Below are 26,710 nucleotides of genomic sequence, written 5' to 3' on the forward strand. Positions count from 1 at the left end.
ATATTCTCCCCAAAGAAAGCTTACTGCAAGAGCCAGAGGTGGCAGGAAAGAAGGAAAAAGGGACAGGTTTTGCCAGATTACAGAAGAATTCCTTTTTGGATAAAGAATAGAATGCCGACTTTGATGCTAGCTGGACTTGTCCACCAGTCAATATAAAACAAGGAAACATTGTCATTTAAACAGTTCCAGTAGGAGCTCCGGACAGAGCAACACTGCATTTTAAGGGGGAAATTGTACACCCATGCCATGGTATTTGAGAATCTAGGGATTCATGATGCTCTCCGGATCTTTCCATCATGGGTATCAAAGGTTTACTGTCATCACCTAGAGGCAGAAGGCTATATGCTGGTCCAGGACTTTGGCACTGGAGAGACCTGAGTTCAAATCCCAGCTCCACTAGTGGTGAGTAACCTTTTTGAGCTCTGTTACCTTATCTATAAAATGAAGATGGCATCTCAGCCATAATAATAGATTATTTAAATAGTGATCATAAACACTCTTTGCTTTTTCATATCAACTTTTGTTTGATGTGAATTCTTGAGAGTCTTCATGTACAACAACACGATTCACTGCAGTATGGATATTCTCACTTAATTTATTGAATATTTACCAAAAACAAGACTAACTGTACACAAGAGGAAATACACATAGGTAAGAAGTATGAAATCATTTTCCTCAACATTTTCTGATTGTAGATGTGCCTTTGTTGATGTTATGTTAAAAAAGGGTAAAAGTGATCATAGTAATATTCAGGAAATTACCCTGACAACCATACCCATTAAGTGTTAGGAAGGCCAAGCCTCACAGTTCATATGCATCACTTATGAAAAGTTTATCCAACTGGCTCTCATGGCTGGGTGATTCACAGTCTTCCCCAATCCACAGAGAGTCAAGACTTGCTTTTCTAAAAACAGAAAGCTTTCATGCTAATCCTGGAATCTCTGAGGGACAAGAGAAGCCAAAGGGATCAGTCCTTGTATTTTATAAATGGTGGATACAAGTTATATTTGGAATCCCATATTGAATGCAGAACTAACAAATCCATAGAGGAAAGGCAGTAGGCTTTGCCAGCCCATAAATTAATTACCTTTAATGGCCAGGCTTAGGGTAAAAGCAAGAAGATATGCAAGGGCTTCCCTATCTGCTGCTTTCATTTTGTATTTAGTCCTGGAATTAAAATCACGTCTAATCAGCAAGAAAAGCAGTTGTTTTAAAAACAGTAACATGCTGAGGGGAGAATTTCCCCTGATATTCTAGGGAATTTGAACTTTGGCCCTTGCTGTGGAATAATCCTACATATGCCTTTCTGAAATACACTGCAAATCTTTTTTGTCCTTGTTAAATGAATAGACTGAAGCTCTGAAGCTTAACAGAAATGATCTACCCACTATCCCTCCTTTTAAAACTTCACTGTGTGGGGTTAGCATTCACCTGTTTAATAAACTCAGCAAGCTGAACATGGCAAACCTTCATTATTAGGGAATCTGAATTCCAAATTCAGATTGTGCTGCAAAGTTTAATTCTTTGGGATGGATTTTCTGTGAATGAAGGGGAATACATAATAATACAGAATTTTCTGGGGAATATGTTCTCATGTATACTACGTTACAATTTGGCATACAGCATTCTGCAAACATTTTCTATTTAAGTCAAGGACAATTTTAGGAGTATGGTAATAATCATGTTCCTCCATATCACAGTTAAATTTCAATTAACTTTAAATTGGAAACAATGTAGCTTTGGAGCTCTCTTTCCAACTGTTAAGAGGATCAGAGCAAATGCTTGGATGAGGAAAAAAAACTACTCTTTTATTTCATTCCAAATTCAAAATTGCCATGCTTGTTCCCTATGATTACTCATATTAAGTTATAATGGTAAATTGGGGGTAGCTGTCAATCCTGGGGTCTTGCACATTGTTGTGATGTGTCACAAACATTCAAATAATTGCACAAATGATAGCAAATGGATCAATGTTTGCAATTCCCCCCCCCCCTTTTTTTTTGGAGACAGGGTCTTGCTCTGTCATCTAGGCTGGAGTGCAGTGGTGCAATCACAGTTCACTGCAGCCTTGATCTCCTGGCCTCAAGTGATCCTCCTACCTCAGCCTCCCGAGTAGCTGAGACTGTAGGTGCACGTCACCACACCGGTTTTGTTTTGTTTTGTTTTGTTTTGGTAGAGGCAAGGTCTTGCTACATTGCCCAGGCTGATTTCAAACTCCTGGGATCAAGCAATTCTCCTACCTTGGGCTCCCAAAGTGCTGGGATTAAGGCATGAGCCAACATGCCAGGCAATGGCTCCATTTTTAATAAACTGAAGTAGATTGAAGATTAAAGGGCTGGATGTAAGCAGCACTTTCTTTTAACACAATTTCTTCAATGAAGAATGAGGACAACATCTGAATTGGTTGCTTATATACCTATATACCCATAATATAGTGATGGCAATTGTGAATTTCTCTAGTGCTTCCATTATACCCTCTTCCTCCAACATGTTTTGGGATTTAGTAAAAAGACTAAGTTTTCCCTTGGAAATGTTTAATGAATATTATCATCCAAAACACACAAAAATTGTTACAAAAATTGGAAACTCACTGGTAAATAGCATTGTAACATCTGTATCCTTTTTCCCCAGTCCAACCACTTCTGAGAAAAGGTTCTATGAAAATGATCTAAAGGGAAAAAGATCCATTAGGTGGATCTTTTTTGGAACAATGAAAAATGTTTGCTTCAGTGTAATTTATAATAATGAAAGCTTGTAAGCAGCCATCATGACGAAATGAAGGGCATGTTTCGGTGAACTCTATCTTATGGAATATTATGTGGCCACTAAAACAGTAATTTTGAAGATGCAGCAACATGGAGAATGCTCATGATACAATAGTTAAATGTATGACCCAATTAGAATCTTGCCACAGATGCTTATAAAATTAGAATGGGACTCAAAAAATTGAACCACTGAACCTAAAATATTGTACAAGAATGGGTACAATATAAATGATCCACCCCTACCACCAAAACCATTTTCAAAGCTTACTTTTTACTATTTCCCTAATAATCAGAAAAAGTTTTTTTTTTTAAAATGGCTGACACAGTATATTACGTTTTTAAAAAGAAGTCAAGCAGAAGATGACCAAGGAAATCAAAGGAAAAAAGAACCAACATATTTTGGTAGTCATGAATCTTACCAAAGGCTAGTTGGGTCACCTCAGATGCCAACAATGGTAACTCATGAATCTGTTAGTCCTTAAAATATTGGCTAAAATGGTCAAACTAATCTCAATAAAAGTCATTTTAAAAAGAAAGAGAGCAAGAGAGATGCCTTTCCCAGTATATCTTGTGATCTGGAATTTATTGCGGTATCTGTGACAGAGAAGAGTGTATGTTCGCATGTGTTTCTTTTTTCTAACATTATCAGCATGAGAATGACTAGAAATGAGCTGTAGGTTTTTCAGAAGTCAAGACAGCTGCGACAGCTACAGGGTTTCATTTATAGATACTGACACTGCATATTTCAGTATATATCAGACACAAAGGTTAAAATATGTACATACTGTTCTTCAGCATAAAATCTAAGCAAAGATCTTAACTCTTGACAGCACCAAAATGTTGCTCTTACTTTTTCCAGTCATTGTACACCCAACATACTTTATTCCCCGATATTTATAACACAAATAAGCAAACAAAAAATCAGGCATCTAATCAAAATGCATCCATTCTATATTCAAAGTCTAAGAAAGTAAAACTGGTGACAGGTATTAAAAGAAGATCTGAACATGTTTATTTTTATAGTCAAGTTGTCTCACAAAGCATAGATACATATGTTTTCCTTATAGCTAATATTAACACACATAAATGTCTTTCACTTAAGTCTTCTGACATCCCAAAATTACTGCTTGAGATGAATCAAGGCTGTGGATCACAACATCCTTAAATTTGACTGCATGAAGAAGACTGGCAAATGTTTCCCTGTTTTAAGAAAATGTTATATTTCTATATGAGACATCTTTTTGGAATACATTTGAGCATATTCAGTAAAATGCTGATTAACCTTTCTTGATCTTTACTTGTGACAATAAATGAAAGATCCTTGTATTTTATAAATCTTCAGCATATTAGATTTCGGTAGTCTAAAGATTAATGAAAAATGAAAGAGAAAAACAAAGCCAAAAATCATAAATCCTTCCTGACCAGAAGGCATTCCTCCCTTATCCCTAAAAGAAATTCATTCCTGCACATCTTGTTTCAATTTAACTTCTGAAGTTTGTCTTGTTCCATCTCTAGGACAAGTCAGGCTGCAGGGTATAGAGATACGACTACATGAATAAAAACACATGAGCAATGCAACCACTGCATATACAAAACCAAGATGACTGTCAAGTGACATGTCACTTGGATACATGTGTTTCTGTATTTTGTCATGAATGTTCAAGCTGAAAGCTACTGGAAGAATCTGAATTCTCCTTCCCCTGCTATTGCAGAATATGGTAATGTAATTAGAAAAAGCTAATGCTTTATGAGCAGCATGCTGGCATCCCTTTTTAGCTGCAGAAGATTCATTTTAAAAAAAGCACCCAACACATTAACACTACACAATACATTCCACAACTCTACAATGAGGGCAAGACTCTCCTGCTAACACAACCCCAGGTTCTTCTGAGGAGGTGCCTTGCACAGATGCTGGGTTTGAGTTTTACTTGGGAAGAGGGTGCTGCTTTTCTTTAATCCCTACCCACTCTTTCTTACACCAGCCTTACATGATTTATAGCATTTTTATTACAAATAGAGAAATGAAACCTTGGTTTGTGCAGATTGAAGCGGTGATGAGGGAATTGGGGTGGTTTGGCAACGGATGGAGGTAGAGAGTGAGATGCAAAATTCTACTCCTATCACAAGTGAGAAAAACACAATTCAAGGCTGACCCTGGACACAGTCAAGTTCACAGGGGTAGTCCAGGAAGGGAAGGGCACTGATGGTGTATGTGGCCAAGCCTGTAAAGGAGATGAGGTCCATAAACTGCAGTTCCCCTTTATCTGAGTCTCCATAAATGCATGGGAGAAGCAGAAGCAGGGTAAGTTTGCAGCAATCGTTACTGGTGGCCAAATTTCTCTGGTGGAAAAGGCAGGTTTTCTTTTTCATGCTTTTATATTAGTTAAAGCCTTTGAATAAACAAAATTCTTAGGGAACTCTCAAGGGGTAATTTTTTTTGTCCAGAAAGTTCCTTCTACTTATTTCTTAATTCCTTTAAAGGTGTGAGATTCTGACCTGGTAACTTGCAATGAAGCAGTATAAGCAACAAAGATGAGGTAGTGGTTTAACTTTCCAGCTGCTTCAACTTTAGACACGAAAAGAAACTGATGGGGGCATCCAGGTTGCTTGGCAAGATGGTGCAGACTGCACAGGTCTAAGGAACTGACTAGTCAGGGTCTATGCCAGTGATAAACCAAGAGATCTGAAAAGGCCCAACTACCATTTCTTATTACAGTCTCCTCTTCATAAAGCACATTTTTATGCTTTTATTATACACATATGTATCCCAGACACATCGGTTTTATTTTTTAAAAATAAAGCTGTCCTCATTTGAGGTGGGGGAAAGAAATTCAACTAGCTGCACCCTCCTCAAGATGGTTTTGGGCAGCGGGTCAAAGCCACTGGCAGACCCATGATGCACCTGACAGAGCTTTGGAGTAGATGCTGCAGGACCCCCGTACCATGCTCTGGCCATACCCCTACCCCTGAGACATGAACAGGAATAGCTAAGGGATCTGTGGGGTCCTCTGCTTGCACATAGGAAGAGAAAACAGAACATAGGGACATCTTACAGCTTTCTGACTGTCCGATCCCTCTCATAGTGATAAAGGGAGGGACCCGAGAGACTAATACTTTTAGTTGTAAAAAGATGAAGTAATGTCTTCTTGCCAGCCATATTTGTGTACTCAGATCAATCAGGGTCATTAAAAACTATATATTACTAAATAACAATCTACAAAAACATAGGTTAAATGAAAAAGCAAAATTTAAAGAAGTTCCTCTAATGCAATTTTACACATATGTGTGGATAAACACTTGAAGGGAAATACAAAAGCATCTTATTTGTTGATAAATTCCTGGTGCTATTTCTTTCCATTTTTGTTCCTATTATTTTTAAATAGAAAAAGAGATAAGATGGATCAAAAATAAATTGCTCTATATACCACTATACAACTACAAGAATGACTAAAACTGAAATTACTGACAATACAAATTGTTGGTAAGCATGCAAAACAACAGGAAGTCTCAAACCTTGCCAACAGGGCAGTATTGTGGTCCCACCATTTTATTTTTAAACAGTTTAACTGGTTGGCTGTTTCTACTAGCTAAACACACATCTATACCACAAGCCAGTGATTCCACTTATAATAATATATTAGAAATGAGTGCTACGTGCACAAAAAGACTGGGAAAAGAATATTCATAATCTCTCTCTTTATAGTAGTCAAAGACTTTCAACAGAGAATAAATAATTGTGGTAATTCATATAGTTGTATGGTATATAACAAACAACAAAACATGTACTAACACATGCAGTAATATGGAAGAAACTCAAAAACATGCTGAGCAAAAGAAATCAGACACAATTAAATGAAAGTTAAACGAAGACCACCTGAAATTCCAGATTAATTTGCTTTGCCATAACAAGTATTATTCTATACATAATATAATTAGTCCCATAACTCACAGTCACATAATAAACTTATTAACAGATGGGAGAGGTGGTAGCAACTGGTGAAGTACTTGTCTTGAAGATGGAAAAAAAATGCTTATATAAGGTAGAATTCCAGAGCCTGAGCCTGGTCTTTTTGCATTCAGCATCTTTCAGTGGCTACAAGGGTGTTTGTGCCTAGGAAATCAGAAATTGCAGGGCTTACCACAGTTTTCCAATTTAAATTAATAACTTTGACTTTGCTATTATATACAAATATGCACATGCCTCTTTAAAACTGTAGAAAATAAGACCTTGATGTCTTAGCCCTTGAGACAAATTTATGCCAAACACCAGAAAGTGCTATTTTCAAAAACAGTAAATAAGTTAAGAGCATAATGTGCCTTTATTATTAAAAGCATTCTGGCTTTGAGTTTTCAAAAATATTCCCGCTGTCTAGCAAAGATTAATGCAATATAGAAACCAGCTTTTCATCATACTTATTTGGCCCAGGAGAACTGTACATCACTGAATCTGGTTGGTGTTGAACATAATGATAAAATGGGCAATAAAAGAAAGTAGGGATGTTTGTATGGGCACAAGGAAGACAAGTCTAAGCAACTTCCCAGCTAATTTGCTCCAAATGAATTTACCCCAATAATAAAAATGAAAAAAAATCAATCAAGTTTGTACGAATAATAGATAGTATTTTTCCTAGTAGTATACAGTACCAAGATGGCCCCCAATGTCTAAGAGTAACATAGCACTCTTTCTCCGGGTATCAGGATGTGATGCCATTTATCCTTTTCTGCTAACCTTAGTCTGGTCAATAGGCAAACTTGGACAACTCACAATTTGCCAAGGTGATACTGTGATTTCTGAGAGACACAACTATTGACTATTGCTAAGCTCTCTCAATTTGAAATGAAAGAGTGAGTCAGCCAAGTCTGGCATCATCAAGAAGAGATGCACGCAGACATCACCAAGAAGGCAGGGATAATTCCAAAAGCCAGATCCCATTTCTGGTCTTGGCATGCTGAATATCTCATTAGGGGAGAGAGGACGTTGGCAAGGACTGATTGTATGCCGGCCCTACCAACTGTAAATTACACAGGGCCATGTTGTCACCTAAATCTGCAGGGAAATTTCGGTGGTCACGGAAGGTGGAAGCTGCTTGGAGGGCTTCTCTGCGAATCCTTCTGCTTGTTGAACATCACGTTTATGGCCTTAGCAACGGTGCAGAGTGAATTGACTGTCAAGGAAAATGCACTAACTCACATCAAGCCAGGGAAAAAAGCTCCTGGGACAAGACTGACACGAGTGCAATGACCAGAGACTAAATTACCACCTGCTTAGGGTGGAGTGAAAAAACCAAACAACAAGCAAGGGGATTTATCTGCAACTGGAGACAATGACATAAAATACAAGCTAGCACTTCAATTATTCAAGTCTGGTAATTCCACACAGTCTGTATGTCTGGTTAAAGAACTCTGTGTAAATTCTGAGCTGCAGGTTTTTAGAGGCAATGTGTATGAGGCAAGACAATGGAGTTGGAGATTAGGAGACACAGGCCTTGCCTTGGCCATGCCTTGATTCCGTGCAGTATGGCGAGAAATCATCTAGCATCTTTTTACCTTTGTATCTGAGCAATCCAGAATAATGATAAAAACAGGGATGTACAATAGAAAGATCTCGTAGTTCAAACCTTGTCTGCCATTTATTAGCTGTGTAAACTTGGGCAAGTCACTGAATTTCTCTGATCCTTATAAAAAATAGTGGTAAGAGCAATCTTTTAAAGTAGAATCATGGCTCACATGAGCAAATGACTTTGTAATAAACTAGACACCTGGAAGTATCTGTGCAAGTTCTTTGTAAAATAGAGAGGGTTATATACATTTTGGTTTTCATTACTGCTTCTGCTATGACTTACCACACAGGGCAGTGTGATGAAGTGTACAATATATAAAAGATCTTACAGAAAGCAAGGTATTAGTATGGAGAGGTTCTATGATATCCAAGAAAAAACAAAACTTTGGAATCACATAAATTTCGGTAAGAACCCACTTCTAAAAGCTTGACTACTTAGAACTGTGATGACACCTTACTCGGGCATTCTTAACCTGAGGTCTGTGGACCCAAAGGGGTCATGGGGAGAATTTAAGAGATCTGTGAACCTGGACAAACAAAACAAAACAAAACAAAACAAAAAAACCCCAAAAAACTTACATCATTACTTTCAAGTAGCCTGTAACCGAAATGTAGCATTTCTTTCAATTATGAGTATATGGAATGAGTCACAGTATTTTTACAGTATCTACGCATGACTTTGTACCTGTAGAAGTCAGATATTTTGATATCACAGTACGATTGTAGCAGATATCTCAAAATATTATTTGTACTCATTACTAATTGAAATTATGGAAGCTACTAACCCAGTGCCTAAGCTTCCTTATTTAAGGCTTTATTAAAGAAGCACACATTAGTGTATCACAAGTTTGTAATTTTACTATTTTGACAACAGCATTTTAATGTAACTGGTTTTCTTTGGAATCTTACATATTTTAGTTTATGAATCTTAGTTTACTTTAACTAGTTTTAGTTAATTCCAAAACACTATTTTGGGAAGCAGTCCACAGGCTTCACAAGTTCGCCAAAGGGCTCCCACAACCTCCCTTGGGCATCCATTTCTTTAGGTGTTAAAGAGAGCTAAGAGCTATGATGCATGGTCACCGTGAAGATTCCAGATGACAGAGAAGCACACCGCCTAGTGCCCCACACATAGTAGGCATTCAAAAGAAGCCAGTATGCGTTGAAAACAATGAGAGAAGGGAATTAATTTCTATGTTATGCCTTTCATTCTTCCTAATTTCAATACAGTTTATTTTTGGTATTTCAAGGATTTAAGTCAATGAAGACTTGACTGTCTTCATTTGCTGGACGGCTTTGGGTGTCGTTTGTGATGATATGGTTATGTGGATGTCCTTTCCTTCTAAGTTCAAAGTGCTATTGCTGGAGACAACCTCTGCACAGGCCAGACGGGAGAGCTCTGGGGATGAGTCCACGCTGGCTGAGGATGGGGGCGCCTTACAGGGGATATGCCGCTGACTTAGCTGCACTGCTTTGAGCCAACGGGCAAGGTCTTGGCCACAAGGGAGGAAATGAGAACAAGTAATTTAGAAACTGGGAACACAGAGCTATTTTAAAGCTTGCCAGTGAGAGAGCCTTCAAAGGCAGGACTAGTCTTTAGGCTCAGCATAATGAACCTCAATGTGAGAAAATTAAGTAATGTTTCAACTCGAGTCCCAAATCAACAGTCTCAGCAATATGAGAGTACTCTACAAATGGGAATGCACTAGAGCTATAGAGGGAAGATTCATGGCCTTCTTAATTAACTCCGAGGTGCCGCACATAAGGGGAAAACGATAAATCAAGTAGATTACTGCCGGCAATCTGAATTTCCAAATGAAATAAGAGAGGTGTAGCACCTTGAGTCATTTTGTAAATGTGTATGGTGGGGGTGGAAGGGAAATCTCCAAGGTCATCTCTTGTGTTTAATTCGCCACTTTATGATTTAATTTCATACCATGTGCAAAGTACTTGCTATACAATCAGGTGTGAAAAGATAGGAAATAGAAAGATTGGTAAGACATGATGGGAGGGCAATGCAATATACACACATGTAAAACTGTAAACTTGTTACTCATGCATTTATCCCATATATATTTATTGAGCTACTACTGTGTAACAGTGTACTACCTACTGTGTAACAGTGTACAACCTACTGTGTAACAGTGTTCTAGAAGCTGAGGATGTAGTAACGACCAAGATGGACAAAATCTCTGCCCCCATGGAGCCCAGATTCCTTAGGGGAAGACAGGTACTCAACAAGATAATTACATAAACTGTGATTTCAAGCAGTGATAAGCACTATGAAGAACAGAAGAGAAGAGTAAGGGCACAGAGAGGGATGAACAGGATACTGTTTAAAGGAGGGAAGCCCTGCTGCGCAAGTGACATCTGACCAGAGACTAAAAGAAGGGGAGGACATGAACTGTGTAAAGCTCTGATTGGAGGGAGAGCATCCCAGTAGAGGGCCAACAAGGACAAGAGACTTGGAGCAGGCCTGAGCTGGGTGTGCTCAAGGGGCAGGAACCCCAACTCTTTTAGGGGAAGGAGGATGGGGGTAAGAGGTGAGGCTGGAGAAGTGAGGGGATGCCTGGTCGCAGAAGCCATGTTGGCCATGATAAGAAGTTTCACTTTTACTTCAAGTGTGACAGGAAGCCTTTGGCAGATGAAGGAGGTGATATGACTTAGCTCCTGCTAAGATAAAAACACAAGCAAAGAAATATAGGTCTGTAGAATAAGGATTAATCCACATTGCAGGATTATCGTTAGTGGTGAAAAACAAACACATGCAAGCAAGCCTGGAAACAACTGGGATATCCACCACTTAATAGTGAAATAAATCATTATATATCCGTATCATAGTATTTTGCGTTGCTGTTAAAAAGAACGACTTAGATCTATCTCTATTGACCTGGAAGGATGTTACACGAAAAACAAAAGATAAGTGTGTGGGGGGAATGATATATATATATATACACACACATATACATATACGTATATATCTATATACATATATGTATGCAATATATAGATATATTTTATGCATATATATGTATATGTGTGTGTATATATACACACACACACACATACACATGTAATATATGATGTTTATTTTAGGCTCGCTCTCAATTTTATTTAAAAAATGTTACAACCAATTAGAGCTATATATATGCATATCTCCATACAGGGAGAATACCCGCCACAACGTTAACATTTGTTAACTTGGGGTGGGGCAGGGTGGGGTGTTAGGGAGAGAGGAGAGAAGCTATTAATCTTAAATATATTTGTACACAATTTTAAAATTTCTATTATTCAATAGTCATAGCCAAATGTGTTAATGTTATGATTTTTTAAATTTTAACTTTTTAGGAGATGGAGGTCTCACTTTGTCACCCAGGCTGGAGTGTGTGTGTGTGTATATATATTTATTTTTATTATTTTCTGAGACAGGGTCTCACTCTTTTACCCAGGCTAGAGTGCAATTATAGCTCATTGCAATCTTGACCTTCTGGGCTCTGGTGATCCTCCTCCCTCAGCCTCTTGAGCAGCTGGGACTACAGGCTCATGCCTCCATGCCCAGCTAATTTAAAAATTTTTTTGAAGAGATGGGGTCTTGCTTTGTTGCCAAGGCTTGCCTCAAACTCCCGCGCTCAAGTGATCCTCCTGCCTTGGCTTCCCAAAGTGCTGGGATTACAGGTGTGAGCCACCATGCCCGGTAGGGGGTGTATGATTTTGAAAAAGGAACTTAATCAAATATTTAAACAATTTATTCTCAGTGATTGGGAAATCTTTGTAAAATAGATAGTGTTAAATGTCCATCTTGAAGAACAGGATTATCACAGCCAGAAAGAAGTGGAGAGAAGAAGGAGTACGCTGCAAGCCAAGGGCAAAACAATGGAAGGTTTTCATTCATGGCACTAACAGACTGATGCTTTCTACAGCTCTAGTGATGGCAGCTGGTGGACAGGGTTTCAGTGGAGAGAATGGAGGCAGGCAGGGAGATCGGTGAACTCTTGGGACAATCCCAAACAGGAAGTTAGAGCTTCAAGTAAGGACAAGAGCAGGGGAAGCATTCAAGAGGCGATGAGGATGCAAAGGTAATACATTTGGTGCCTGATTATTTGGAAACAGGGGTGAGGAGATGAGATGGTTGGAATATAATTCCAAGCTTCCTAGACTAATGAATGGGTAGGTGCCATTAAACATAGTATGAATCAAAAAAAGAGGAGGCACTCTGGAGAAGGATATAAAATAACGGGCCTGGCACTAGATGAGCTGAGCCTGTACTGAACATTCCCAAACCCACAGATAGTGGGGTGGTTAAAAATGGGGGCTGAAGGAAGCATGGGACTAGGGTCCTCTCCACATCGGTTAACAGCCAAGGTCAAGGCACGGAACAAATACAGATAGAAAAGCAAAATGCTAGGGACGAAACTTAGGGAGAGGCCACCGCTTTTATGGCAAAGAAGTAGAAGAAGAACCAGGACAGAACAAACTAATGGGCACAAAGGAAGAAAGAATTTCAGCACTGAGAGCATCTGCTGACGAGGGGATGGGGACTTCCTTAAGGAACTTGAGTACAGTGCGAAACACTTCAAACTGAACTGCAGTAAGTTTAGCAAGGTTTTGACCTGAGAATGTTACAGGTCAGTCTTGAGGGTCCAGCCGAGGTTGGAAAGATTGCATTTGAAGTGGGATGAATCATCCTGCTATATACTTTTATGTAGGAATTCTCCACGTCCACTAAGTAGAGAGGCACATATTAGGTTCATCTGAGGCTGAGGACTGGAGATGATGAGTGGGCAAGGTCATGGGGACAAGTCAAAGTTGAATTTAGCAATTGAGTGAAGGCAAGTTGTGTTTGGCTGTTCTTCTGAAGCTATGAAGGAATACCTGAGACTGGGTAATTTATAAAGAAAAGAAAAGAGGTTTAACTGGCTCACAGTTCTGCAGGCTGTGTAAGTATGGTGCCAATATCTGCTTGGCTTCTGGGGAGGCCTTAGGGAGTTTTTTTTTTTTTTTGAGATGGAGTCTCGCCTCTGTCACCAGGCTGGAGTGCAGTGGCACGATCTGGGCTCTCTGCAACCTCTGCCTCCCAGGTTCAAGCCATTCTCCTGCCTCAGCCTCCTGAGTAGCTGGGACTACAGGCATGTGCCACCATGCCTGGCTAAGTTTATGGTATTTTTAGTAGAGATGGGGTTTCACCATGTTAGCCAGGATGGTTTCGATCTTCTAACCTCATGATTCACCTGCCTCGGCCTCCCAAAGTGCTGGGATTACAGGCGTGAGTCACCGCGTCGGGCCAGGGAGCTTTTATTCAAGGGTCGAGGCAAAGTGGGAGCAGGTGTGTCACATGTTAAGGGCAGGAGCAAGAGGAGGGGGAGGTACCACATGCTTTTAAACAACCAGATCCTGTGAGAACTCATGATCTCAAGGACAGCACCAAGGGGATAGTGCTAAATCAGTCATGAGAAATCCACCCCTATGATCCAATCACCTCCCACCAGGCTCCACCTCCAACACTGGGGATTACATCTCAACATGAGATTTGGAGTAGACATCTAAGCTATATCACATGTCAAGGAAGGACGGGCTGAGACCCTAGAGGTCTCAAGGCAAATGTGACACCCAGGAGAGGACACAGCAGGGGAAACAGTGGAGCCTCTGGTCAATAGGTCAACTTCACAGTTTGAGATAATGAAAGTACAGCAGCTCTTGCTTATGACAAAGTCCAGGAAAAGGCTTTCTACATAAAAAAGAAATAGGAAATCCAAGTCTATGTCTAGGGTGTTTCTTTATCACTGAATTTCTACTGACCTGTGATAAGTTTAAAAATTTTGAAAAATTATAAAGCAGCTTTGAATTGGGCTCAAAGATGCATAAAAAGATCAGTCATAAATACTGATGAGTGGACATAAAGATTTTTAAAAATGGTCTGATGTGATTTCAATTGTATAAGCAACCTGTTTAAAACATAGAGTGTCCTAAGAATGAACTGTAGACTACTGGAGGCACAGTTCCTAACAAATGAATCACATCACCCAACTGTGACAAGACTCACCTCTCCTACCAAGTGTTTTGTGTGAGCAATGCAAACTAATTCTGTTGGAGCAAGCCAAAATGTCACATAAGGGTTGTCCTTCCAGCTTCCCAGTGTCCCTCAAGAATATATGGTCTTTCTGGGCTAGTCGCGATGGCTCACGCCTGTAATCCCAGCACTTTGGGAGGCCAAGGCGGGCGGATCACGAGGTCAAGAGATCGAGACCATCCTGGCTACCATGGTGAAACCCCGTCTCTACTAAAAATACAAAAAAAATTAGCCGGGCATGGTTGTGTGCGCCTGTAGTCCCAGCTACTCGGGAGGCTGAGGCAGGAGAATGGCGCGAACCCGGGAGGCGGAGCTTGCAGTGAGCCGAGAAGCGCCACTGCACTCCAGCCTGGGCAACAGAGCCAGACTCCGTCTCAAAAAAAAAAAAAAAAAAAAAAAAGAATATATGGTCTTTCTGGAACACAATGAGCACACCAAATCAAATTACAGATATTACAAGGAAAATCTGGCAGGCAGCCATCTCAGCTTTGTTTCAACTGATGTCCATAAAAATATAGGCTAAGAAAACGGTAGCACGATGCCTGGTGATTGAGACCTAAGAGCATGCAACATGTTTATTATGGCATGTATCAGGCCACAAACTTCAGTCTGGAGCTGGGGCACACAGCAGAACCTTAGTTCTAGTAGACAAGGGAGGAAAATAGGAAGGCATGCCTTGTACTGTAATAAATATGACTGCTCTCAGAAGACCATAAACAGGTGGTTTCATGAAAAAAAAAAAGTCATCGCTTTTAGATTTAAAAAACATCAAATGCTTCAGGCTTGTTTGTATTAAAAAAATAGAAGGCCAGTACACACTCAGCTAATTATAGCATTTTTTATGAGGCTATGGCTGACTAAAATCTGGCAAAAATGAGTCCAACTGAAACACCAAGAGTGAGAGTTTGGGAGGATTAGGTGAGGTTTTGGAGTGGGAAGAAATGTGGGAAAGAGGAAGAAAGCTTTCATTAAGCAGCTCACATTCTGGTAGAAGGAGGAAAAAAAAGCATCCAGACTGATTTTATTTTCATTCAAAACAACCTCTTATTCCATACATTTTTACTTTAAATCCCTGAACATGTTTATAATGGCTACTCTGAAGTCATTGTCTCTTAAATCCAACATCTGGGCTATCTCAGGAAAGATCTCTATTGACTGCTTTGTTTTGTCTAAGGGAAGATTTTCCTACTTCTTTCATGTTTAGTAATTTTTCATTATATATTAGACATTGTGATATCTGATCCATTCCTATGAAAATACTGAGTTTTGTCCTAGCAGGCAGTTCAATTTCATGCTGATCATGTTGAACTTGTATAGGTCTAGACTTATACTTTATTAGAATACATCTCTTAAAAGCCCAAAACGTTTCCCAAGACCCTTTAACTTGTCAGAACTCCAAATTCTGTCTCCTCTGACAATCTTATGTGGGTTTGGTTTTAGGGATCATTGGGGTGCTTTTAGAGCAAGTCATACCCTAGAGCAAAGTCCTTATTTCTAATTTGAAGTCTTTCTGGTATCTCAGTTGAATGACTAGGTGTCCACAAATTGTTTCTATACTGGCTGGGCTGGAGTGCAACATGGTTTCTCTGTTCTAGTCTCACCCTTGTGGCAGCCACTCTTTGATTAAGACTCAAAGTCTTACCCCGAACATGAGCAACCCACCCTCAGCCATGGACTCATGGAGGATCCTGATATAGATTTTTGGAAAGTCTTCACAGATCCCTCATCTTCACTTGCACCCCCTTTCTCTCCACACACATACACACACAGGCAGATTTCAGCAACTTTAGTTGTGCCGATTCTGACCTCTGCCTCCTCAGTTCAGCGAAGCTGCTGTGTTCTGCCTGGACTCTAGCTTACTCCATTGCAGTAAGGACATTGTCCTCAGACAGCGAGGGCCAGGTAGGTGATCATGGGGCTCACCTCCTAAGCTTCCTTTCTTTCAGGGATCATGGTCTTGCACTACTTATTGTCTAGAGCCTGAAAACCATTATGTTGTACATTTGTCCAGTTGTTTATGGTGACAGAAATCATGATGGAAATTTAATTATTTAAATATTTTTATGCTGCATGCCATATGAATGTTGAATAAAAGTTGCAATAACATTCCACATAGCTCTCTCAATGCAAATAGGCAGTAGCAGCTCCTTGTTTCACATCAAAGTGTCCCTAGAGTTCTTAGATCATTCATTCTTATTCTTTCATAAACAAATTCATTTATTCATTCAATAAATACTTATTGAGAGTCTTATATATGACAGACACTGTTCTGGGGGCAGAGACAGGATTCGAACCTAAACAGTCTGACTCCTGCTCCTATACTCTTAACCACTACATTGTTCTACTTCTCAAAGAGAGGAGAAATACATTGGAAATGTGGGAAAAACAGTGATAGTTTCTGAGCAAAAAACAGCTTGGTGTCTGAGCAGGTTATGAGTAGTTGGGAACACCACTAAAAGAGGCACAAGAGGAGAATTTGATTGAGTTAGACCATTAGGGCAAAATTTTGTCCTTGTTTTTCCCAGACGATGATGAGTAAAAAGAGTATTCTGCCTTTTGTATCAGAAAAAGAACAAAAAGCCATTCTGAATAAAAGGCTTCAGGGTTCCTCGGGGAAGTTGAGGAAGTAGGTGGAAGTGATATTACTCTAGTGATATTACAATTACCTCAAACTATATACACAACACTACTCCCATCAGATGCTTCAAGAAAAAGTGCTCTGGAATCAGGTACATATGAGAATTATATTACTCCTCTTGGAGACTTAAAATGCATATCAGCATAGCAGAGGATCTGATAAATCTTATGGTAAAGAAAACCATTTTATTTAACTCAAAATTTCCCAAACATAAAGACCACAGTACCCTATACTGTGAGTAAGTGTGTGAGGGCGTGAGGGTGTAGGGGTGTGTATGTGTGTGTGTTTTTTGGGGGGAGAAAGGCAGGGGAGAGGGGGAGAGAGAGAGGGACAGTGTGAGAGTGAGTGCATGTGAAACTGGTGAATATCCCTTGGAATTACTGTTCTATGAAACAGATTTTAGAATTTGCTATCTAATGTCAACAGCAAATACTAGGTTAAATAAAAATAATTTTTAGAGGTCGAGCCTACCATTACTGCACCAAGTAGTACAGGGAGTCCTACAAAGAGAACGAGAGTAGATCTGTAACTAAGTTATAAGAACATAGTATATTTTTGTTAAGTAGTAAATGAAAAGAATCGAGTATAAAAAGGTGCCAATTTGTGCCTAGGCATGACAATTCTTTACATCTTATACTAAATGCTATATATATATTTTTAAGGTAAAGTTAATTTGGAAACTCCAATTTATGTTATTTTAATAAAAGCATATTTTGCAGAAAATACAGTATAATTAACAGGCGTGGCCAGGTACACTACATTTTTTTTTTTTTTTTTTTTTTTTTTTTTTTTTTTTTTTAGAAACAGAGTCTTGTTCTATCACCCAGGCTGGAGTGCAGTGGCCCCATCATAGCTAACTGTAGCCTTGAACTCCTGGGCTCAAGCAATCCTCTCATCTCAGCCTCCAAAACAGTTGAGATTACAGGTGTGAGCCACTGTGCCTAGGATCATATCTTTAAGTTATGTCAGTTATCCATTTCTGGGAAGCCAAAAGTTATTACTAAGCTATCTGAACTACTCTGACAATAATCTGAAAGAAACACCCAGGGACAGTCCCATGCTTCTCAGTAACCTTTTTATGGAGACTCACCTGCCTTTGCCCTGCAGCTCCCCGAATCCCCTGCCTCTCCCCTATCCCCTGCCTCATTGGTGAGTCACGATGGAGAATAATTTCCTGGGTGCTATGCCCTTTCTTTCCTATCGATTGGAGATGCTAAGGTGTCCTTATCCATTACAGCTGAGGCCTGTTATGCTAGGGTTTGCCTTGCACAGTCAACCTAATTCAGTGGTAGCCATCTATCATATAGGAATTACTGGTTACCTCTCTCATAGAGTTTCCAGCTTCTTCAGTCTCCTACTGTTTCATCTTATTGGGTTGCTAACCTCTAATTATCTAGGACATGGCAATTATTCTTATTTTTATGTCTGTTCCCTCTGCCCAGGTGTCCTACCCTATTTTTCCAATATTAGATACTTTTTCAAATTCTCCTCTTACTTTTCTATCCTCTAATACTTAAGTTTTAACTCTGATATCCCAACAGGTCAAGCTACACAGTGGCTAGAGCCTAGAGCCTAACTGTGTAGGTTTGAACCCAATGCCCCACTGTGTACTATCATTTGCCTTTTTCATTCTCATTTTTTCACAGGTATACTGTGGGGTTTTCCAGAGGCTGTACGACACATAGCATTGCAGCAGATTGGACGCAAAATCCAAAATCTAGCTGATGTCCATTAAGTCATTAAAAAGCCCACTTTTAAGAAAATCATAGGTTTTTTTTCCTACCTGTAAATATCTATTATGTTCAACATATTATGTTCAAGAGTGTAGAGTAATTTTAAATAGGTATATAAAGGCAACAATTTTTACTTAAGTGTTTTCTTCTTTTTTTTAATAATCCAAAAAGCTAGCTCCATTTTAAGGAACCTAACCCTCTGCTGATTGATTAGTCAATGTTATTGCCAAAGAAAGTTTCATTTCAATTTTGAGATGCCCAAATGTCTATCAAGGTTGTTTAAACAGATATTTGAGCAGAAAAGTCGTCATTCTTTTCTGGTCTTCACTGCTCAGGAAAATTAGAGTTTATTTCCCCTGAGGGGAAATAAAAATCTCTTATTTGTATAAACATCATTTTTTTTAAAAGCACCATCTTCTGTCATATTTAGCCTACTGTTGTCAAGCCGATTTTCTTTCACATGACTTAACCCTTATTACTATCATCTTGAATGCATACTGGCTTCATCTGAATTTTGATACTGCATGCTTCCTTTCTCTTACCAAAGGTCCCCAAGACTCCTTTTAGTTATCTTTCCACTATGGCCAGGCTAGTAGTTGTCTGTTGCTTGGCCCTCTCTTTCATTTACTATGTTCCTACAAATACATATCCAAAGTTCCTACTGTGTGGTAACTTTATCCTCTGAAAGTGGCACTAGAAATCCTGTATGAGTGGAGGTATTAGTAACTTAGGCAACCTTCCACTCAATCTTTCTCTTCACTTAAAAATCATTCGTAAACTTACTGATCCACTATACATGTCTACTTCTCTCCCAGCTAGGATTTGATCTGTCAAATTCCATATTTTCTCAGGTTTGTAATTATAATGAGGTGCCCAGTTCAAGACCCATCTTCTCCAGATCTAACTTCTAATTTACAGTAAATACAGAAGACAGAGGAACCCATCAAATGACATCTAGAGGAAACAACCAAGAGAAAATCCAGAAGGTAGAAACATTCTGTGGGACAACAAGCCTATCTCTTCAACAAGTTATTGTCAATAAAAGGGACTGTGATTCCCTGAATTGGGATGCTAGACTAGACTGACCAGCTATAAAGAACATGTTTAGACCACCTGGAGAAATCTGAATATTAGATTAGAAATCTGGGTATTAGATAAGATTTAAATTTAGTGAAATGGAAAAGTAGAGATGAATGACTAAAGAGTAGATTATGAAGTAGTATGTACAGCTCTCAATTAAAAAATTATATATGTATTTTTATAAAATGATCTGAAAAATATGAGTTAAAGTTTTAGTAGCAGTGATACCTGGGTGGTGGGAATGTGATGTTTTAATTTGTTTTTACATTTTTGTCAGACTATATTTTCTAATTTTCTATAATGCCTATAGACGGCTATAATAAAATGTTATTTTAAAAATTACTCACTTTCTCCGAGATGACTTATCCAAGAAATTTCACACCCACTGATCATGCCCTGACTCTAGAATTCCAGCACATCCTACTGACAGTTTATGCCAAACCACTGCACTTGATTCAAGTTCTCTGGTGGTTTTTGTATGTGGCCCCATCCCTATTCTTTGACTTCTTTTGTAGTCCCAAACCATGCTTGGCAAAATATTTGTTACTTTAGTGAGTATAACTCCTATATAGAGGAGGTTCCAAGATGGCCGAATAGGAACTGCTCCAGTCTGCAGCTCCCAGTGTGAGCGATGCAGAACATGGGTGATTTCTGCATTTCCAACTGAGGTACTGGGTTCATCTTACTGGGGCTTGCCAGACAGTGGGTGCAGCCCATGGAGCAGGGCGGGGCATCACCGCACCCAGGAAGTGCAAGAGGTAGGGGAATTCCCTTTCCTAGCAAAGGGAAGCCATGACAGATGGTACCTGGAAAATCGGGACACTCCCATCCTAATACTGCACTTTTCCAACAGCCTTGGCAACACAGCACACCAGGAGATTATATCCCGCGCATGGCTCAGAGGGTCCCACGCCCATGGAGCCTCACTCACTGCTAGCACAGCCATCTGAGATCGAACAGCAAGGCGGCAGCGAGGCTGGGGGAGGGGCGTCCGCCACTGCTGAGGCTTGAGTAGGTAAACAAAATGGCTAGGAAGCTCGAACTCGGTGGAGGCCACCACAGCTCAAGGAGGTCCGCCTGCCTCTGTAGACTCCAACTCTGGGGACAGGGCATAGCTGAATAAAAGGCAGCAAAAACTTCTGCAGACTTAAACGTCCCTGTCTGACAGCTTTGAAGAGAGTAGTGGTTCTCCCGGCACGGAGTTTGAAATCTGAGAATGGACAGACTCCCTCCTCAAATGGGTCCCTGACCCCCGAGTATCCTAACTGGGAGACACCTCCCAGTAGGGGCCAAGTGACACCTCATACACCTCTGAGACGAAGCTTCCAGAGGAAGGATCAGGCAGCAACATCTGTCGTCCTGCAATATTTGCTGTTCTGCAGCCTCCGCTGGTGATACACAGGCAAACAGGGTCTGGAGAGGACCTCCAGCAAACTCCAACAGACCTGCAGCTGAGGGTCCTGACTATTAGAAGGAAAACTAACAAACAGAAAGGACATCCACACCAAAACCCCATCTGTACGTCACCATTGTCAAAGACCAAAGATAGATAAAACCACAAAGATGGGGAGAAACCAGAGCAGAAAAGCTGAAAATTCTAAAAATCAGAGCTCCTCTTCTCCTTCAAAGGAATGCAGCTCCTTGGCAGCAACGGAACAAAGCTGGATGGAGAATGACTTTGACGAGTTGAGAGAAGAAGGCTTCAGATGACCGGTAATAACAAACTTCTCCGAGCTAAAGGAGGATGTTCGAACCCATGGCAAAGAAGCTAAAACCCTTGAAAAAAGATCAGACTAATGGCTAACTAGAATAAATAGTGTAGAGAAAGCCTTAAATGACCTGATGGAGCTGAAAACCATGGCACGAGAACTACGTGATGAATGCACAAGCTTCAGTAGCTGATTTGATCAACTGGAAGAAAGGGTATCAGTGATTGAAGATCAAATGAATGAAATGAAGTGAGAAGAGAAGTTTAGAGAAAAAAGAGTAAAAAGAAACAAACCAAAGCCTCCAAGAAATACAGGACTATGTGAAAAGACCAAATCTACGTCTGATTGGTGTACCTGAAAATGACGGGGAGAATAGAACCAAACTGGAAAATACTCTGCAGGATATTATCCAGGAGAACTTCCCCAAACTACCAAGGCAGGCCAACATTCAAATTCAGGAAATACAGAGAACGCCACAAAGATACTCCTCGAGAAAAGCAACTCCAAGACACATGATTGTCAGATTCACAAAAGTTGAAATAAAGGAAAAAATAATAAGGGCAGCCAGAGAGAAAGGTCGGGTTACCCACAACGGGAAGCCCATCAGACTAACAGCTGATCTCTCAGCAGAAACTCTGCAAGCCAGAAGAGAGTGGGGGCCAATATTTAACATTCTTAAAGAAAAGGATTTTCAACCCAGAATTTCATAGCCAGCCAAAGTAAGCTTCATAAGTGAAGGAGAAATAAAATCCTTTACAGACAAGCAAATGCTGAGAGATTTTGTCACCACCAGGCCTTCCTTACAAGAGCTCCTGAAGGAAGCACTAAACATGGAAAGGAACAACCAGTACCAGCCACTGCAAAAACATGCCAAATTGTAAAGACCATCAAGGCCAGGAAGAAACTGCATCAACTAACAAGCAAAATAACCAGCTAACATCATAACGACAGGATCAAATTCACACATAACAGTATTAACCTTAAATGTAAATGGGCTAAATGCTCCAATTAAAAGACACAGACTGGTAAATTGGATTAAAAGTCAAGACCCATCAGTGTGTTGTATTCAGGAGACCCATCTCATGTGCAGAGACACACATAGGCTCAAAATAAAGGGATGGAGGAAGATCTACCAAGCAAATGGAAAAGAAAAAAGAAAAGCTGGGGTTGCAATCCTAGTCTCTGATAAAATAGACTTTAAACCAACAAAGATCAAAAGAGACAAAGAAGGCCATTACATAATGGTAAAGGGATCAATTCAACAAGAAGAGCTAACTATCCTAAATATATAGGCACCCAATACAGGATCACCAGATTCATAAAGCAAGTCCTTAGAGACCTACAAAGAGACTTAGACTCCCACACAATAATAACGGGAGACTTTAACACCCCACTGTCACCATTAGACAGATCAACTATACAGAAAGTTAACAAGGATATCCAGGAATTGAACTCAGCTCTGCACCAAGCGGACCTAATAGACATCTACAGAACTCTCCACCCCAAATCAGCAGAACATACATTCTTCTCAGCATCACATTGCACTTATTCCAAAATTGACCACATAGTTGGAAGTAAAGCATTCCTCAGCAAACGTAAAAGAACAGAAATTATAACAAACTGTCTCTCAGACCACAGTGCAATCAAACTAGAACTCAGGATTAAGAAACTCACTCAAAACCACTCAACTACATGGAAACTGAACAATCTGCTCCTAAATGACTACTGGGTACACAACAAAATGAAGGCAGAAATAAAGATGTTCTTTGAAACCAATGAGAACAAAGACACAACATACCAGAATCTCTGGGATACATTTAAAGCAGTGTTTAGGGGGAAATTTATAGCACTAAATGCCCACAAGAGAAAGCAGGAAAGATCCAAAATTGACACCTAACATCACAATTAAAAGAACTAGAGAAGCAAGAGCAAACACATTCAAAAGCTAGCAGAAGACAAGAAATAACTAAGATCAGAGCAGAACTGAAGAAGATAGAGACACAAAAACCCTTCAAAAAAATCAATGAATCCAGGAGCTGGTTTTTTGAAAAGATCAACAAAATTGATAGACTGCTAGCAAGACTAATAAAGAAGAAAATAGAGAAGAATCAAATAGATGCAATAAAAAATGATAAAGGGAATATCACCACCAATCCCACAGAAATACAAACTACCATCAGAGAATACTATAAACACCTCTATGCAAATAAACTAGAACACCTAGAAGAAATGGATAAATTCCTGGACATATACACCCTCCCAAGACTAAACCAGGAAGAAGTTGAATCTGTGAATAGACCAATAACAGGTTCTGAAATTGAGGCAATAATTAATAGTCTACCAACCAAAAAAAGTCCAGGACCAGACAGATTCACAGCTGAACTCTACCAGAGGTACAAAGAGGAGCTGGTACCATTCCTTCTGAAACTATTCCAATCAATAGAAAAAGAGGGAATCCTCCCTAATTCATTTTATGAGGCCAGCATCATCCTGATATCAAAGCCTGGCAGAGACACAACAAAAAAAGAGAATTTTAGACCAATATCCCTGATGAACATCGATGCAAAAATCCTCAATAAAATACTGGCAAACCAAATCCAGCAGCACATCAAAAAGCTTATCCACCACCATCAAGTTGGCTTCATCCCTGGGATGCAAGGCTGGTTCAACATACTCAAATCAATAAACGTAATCCATCATATAAACAGAACCAAAGACAAAAACCACATGATTATCTCAATAGAAGCAGAAAAGGCCTTTGACAAAATTCAACAGCCCTTTATGCTAAAAACTCTCAATAAACTAGGTATTGATGGGACATATCTGACATATCTCAAAATAATAAGAGCTATTTATGACAAACCCACAGCCAATATCATACTGAATGGGCAAAAACTGGAAGCATTCCCTTTTAAGACTGGCACAAGACAGGGATGTCCTCTCTCACCACTCCTATTCAACATAGTGTTGGAAGCTCTGGCCAGGGCAATCAGGCAAGAGAAAGAAATAAAGGGTATTCAATTAGGAAAAGAGGATGTCAAATTGTCCCTGTTTGCAGATGACATGATTGTATATTTAGAAAACCCCATCGTCTCAGCCCAAAATCTCCTTAAGCTGATAAGCAACTTCAGCGAAGTCTCAGGATACAAAATCAATGTGCAAAAATCACAAGCATTCCTATACACCAATAACAGACAGACAGAGAGCCAAATCATGAGTGAACTCCCATTCACAATTGCTTCAAAGAGAATAAAATACCTAGGAATACAACTTACAAGGGATGTGAAGGACCTCTTCAAGGAGAACTACAAACCACTGCTCAATGAAATAAAAGAGGACACAAACAAATGGAAGAACATTCCATGCTCATGGATAGGAAGAATCAATATTGTGAAAATGGCCATACTGCCCAAGGTAATTTATAGATTCAATGCCATCCTCATCAAGCTACCAATGACTTTCTTCACAGAATTGGAAAAAACTACTTTGAAGTTCATATGGGCTCTCCCTCCCCCTCCCCCTCTCCCTCCCTCTCCCTCTCTGTCTCCCACTTTCCACGGTCTCCCTCTGATGCCGAGCTGAGGCTGGACTGTACTGCTGCCATCTCGGCTCACTGCAACCTCCCTGCCTGATTCTCCTGCCTCAGCCTGCCCAGTGCCTGGGATTGCAGGCGCGCGCTGCCATGCCTGACTGGTTTTTGTATTTTTTGGTGGAGACGGGGTTTCGCCGTGTTGGCCGGGCTGGTCTCCAGCTCCTGACTGTGAGTGATCTGCCCGCCTGGGCCTCCCGAGGTGCCAGGATTGCAGACGGAGTCTCGATCACTCAGTGCTCAATCTTGCCCAGGCTGGAGTGCAGTGGCGTGATCTCGGCTCGCTACAACCTCCACCTCCCAGCCGCCTGCCTTGGCCTCCCAAAGTGCTGAGATTGCAGCCTCTGCCCGGCCGCCACCCCATCTGGGAAGTGAGGAGCGTCTCTGCCTGGCCACCCATCGTCTGGGATGTGAGGAGCCCCTCTGCCTGGCCGCCCAGTCTGGGAAGTGAGGAGCGCCTCTTCCCGGCCGCCATCCCATCTAGGAGGTGAGGAGCGTCTCTGCCTGGCCGCCCATCGTCTGAGATGTGGGGAGCGCCTCTGCCCCGACGCCCCGTCTGGGATGTGAGGAGTGCCTCTGCCCGGCTGCGACCCCGTCTGGGATCTGAGGAGTGTCTCTGCCCGACCGCCACCCCATCTGGGAGGTGAGGAGCGTCTCTGCCCGGCCGCCCCGTCTGAGAAGTGAGGAGCCCCTCCACCCGGCAGCCGCCCCGTCTGGGAAGTGAGGAGCATTTCCGCCTGGCAGCCGCCCCGTCCAGGAGGTTGGGGGCAGCCCCCACCCGGCCAGCCACCCAGTACGGGAGGTCGGGGGCAGCCCCTGCCCGGCCAGCCGCCCTGTCCGGGAGGGAGGTGGGGGGCAGCCCCCGCCCGGCCAGCCGCCCCGTCCGGGAGGGAGATGGGGGGTGCCTCTGCCCGGCTGCCCCATCTGGGAAGTGAGGAGCCCCTCTGCCCGGCTGCCACCCCATCTGGGAGGTGTACCCAACAGCTCATTGAGAACGGGCCATGATGACGATGGCGGTTTTGTTGAATAGAAAAGGGGGAAATGGGAAAAGAAAGAGAGATCAGATTGTTACTGTGTCTGTGTAGAAAGAAGTAGCCATAGGAGACTCCATTTTGTTCTGTACTAAGAAAAATTCTTCTGCCTTGGGATGCTGTTAATCTATAACCTTACCCCCAACCCCATGCTCTCTGAAACACGTGCTGTGTCAACTCAGGGTTAAATGGATTAAGGGTGGTGCAAGATGTGCTTTGTTAAACAGAGGCTTGAAGGCAGCATGCTCGTTAAGAGTCATCACCACTCCCTAATCTCAAGTACCCAGGGACACAAACACTGTGGAAGGCTGCAGGGTCCTCTGCCTAGGAAAACCAGAGACCCTTGTTCACATGTTTATCTGCTGACCTTCCCTCCACTATTGTCCTATGACCCTGCCAAATCCCCCTCTATGAGAAACACCCAAGAATGATCAATAAATACTGAAAAAAAAAAAAAAGAACATGATTCTAATCTCTGTGGATGGTTGAATCATAATTCATTTAAACAATCCCTGTTGGATATTTAGGTTAGGTCTAT

The 26,710-nt window shown here is 40.8% G+C and overlaps 1 protein-coding gene across 5 annotated transcripts in view, besides 2 other annotated features; it reads right to left on the reverse strand.

Moving 5' to 3' along the window:
* Positions 1–26,710, reverse strand: part of JAZF1 (JAZF zinc finger 1) — a 350,219-nt gene that overhangs the window by 131,000 nt on the left and 192,509 nt on the right. The window lies entirely within an intron of this gene.
* Positions 19,947–21,146: an enhancer, noted in NCBI's record as "CDK7 strongly-dependent group 2 enhancer chr7:28021142-28022341 (GRCh37/hg19 assembly coordinates)". NCBI's record gives its function as "activates an origin of replication core promoter dependent on BRD2, BRD4, P300/CBP, MED14 and CDK7 cofactors, with strong dependence on CDK7, by STARR-seq in HCT116 cells {active_cell/tissue: HCT116}" and the evidence as "EXISTENCE:reporter gene assay evidence [ECO:0000049][PMID:35650434]".
* Positions 26,086–26,645: an enhancer, noted in NCBI's record as "OCT4-NANOG-H3K27ac hESC enhancer chr7:28027281-28027840 (GRCh37/hg19 assembly coordinates)". NCBI's record gives its function as "activates a minimal SCP1, AML or CMV promoter by ChIP-STARR-seq in naive H9 embryonic stem cells {active_cell/tissue: H9 hESC(naive)}" and the evidence as "EXISTENCE:reporter gene assay evidence [ECO:0000049][PMID:30033119]".

Source organism: Homo sapiens, chromosome 7 (assembly GCF_000001405.40).
Source record: "Homo sapiens chromosome 7, GRCh38.p14 Primary Assembly".
NCBI lineage: Eukaryota > Metazoa > Chordata > Mammalia > Primates > Hominidae > Homo > Homo sapiens.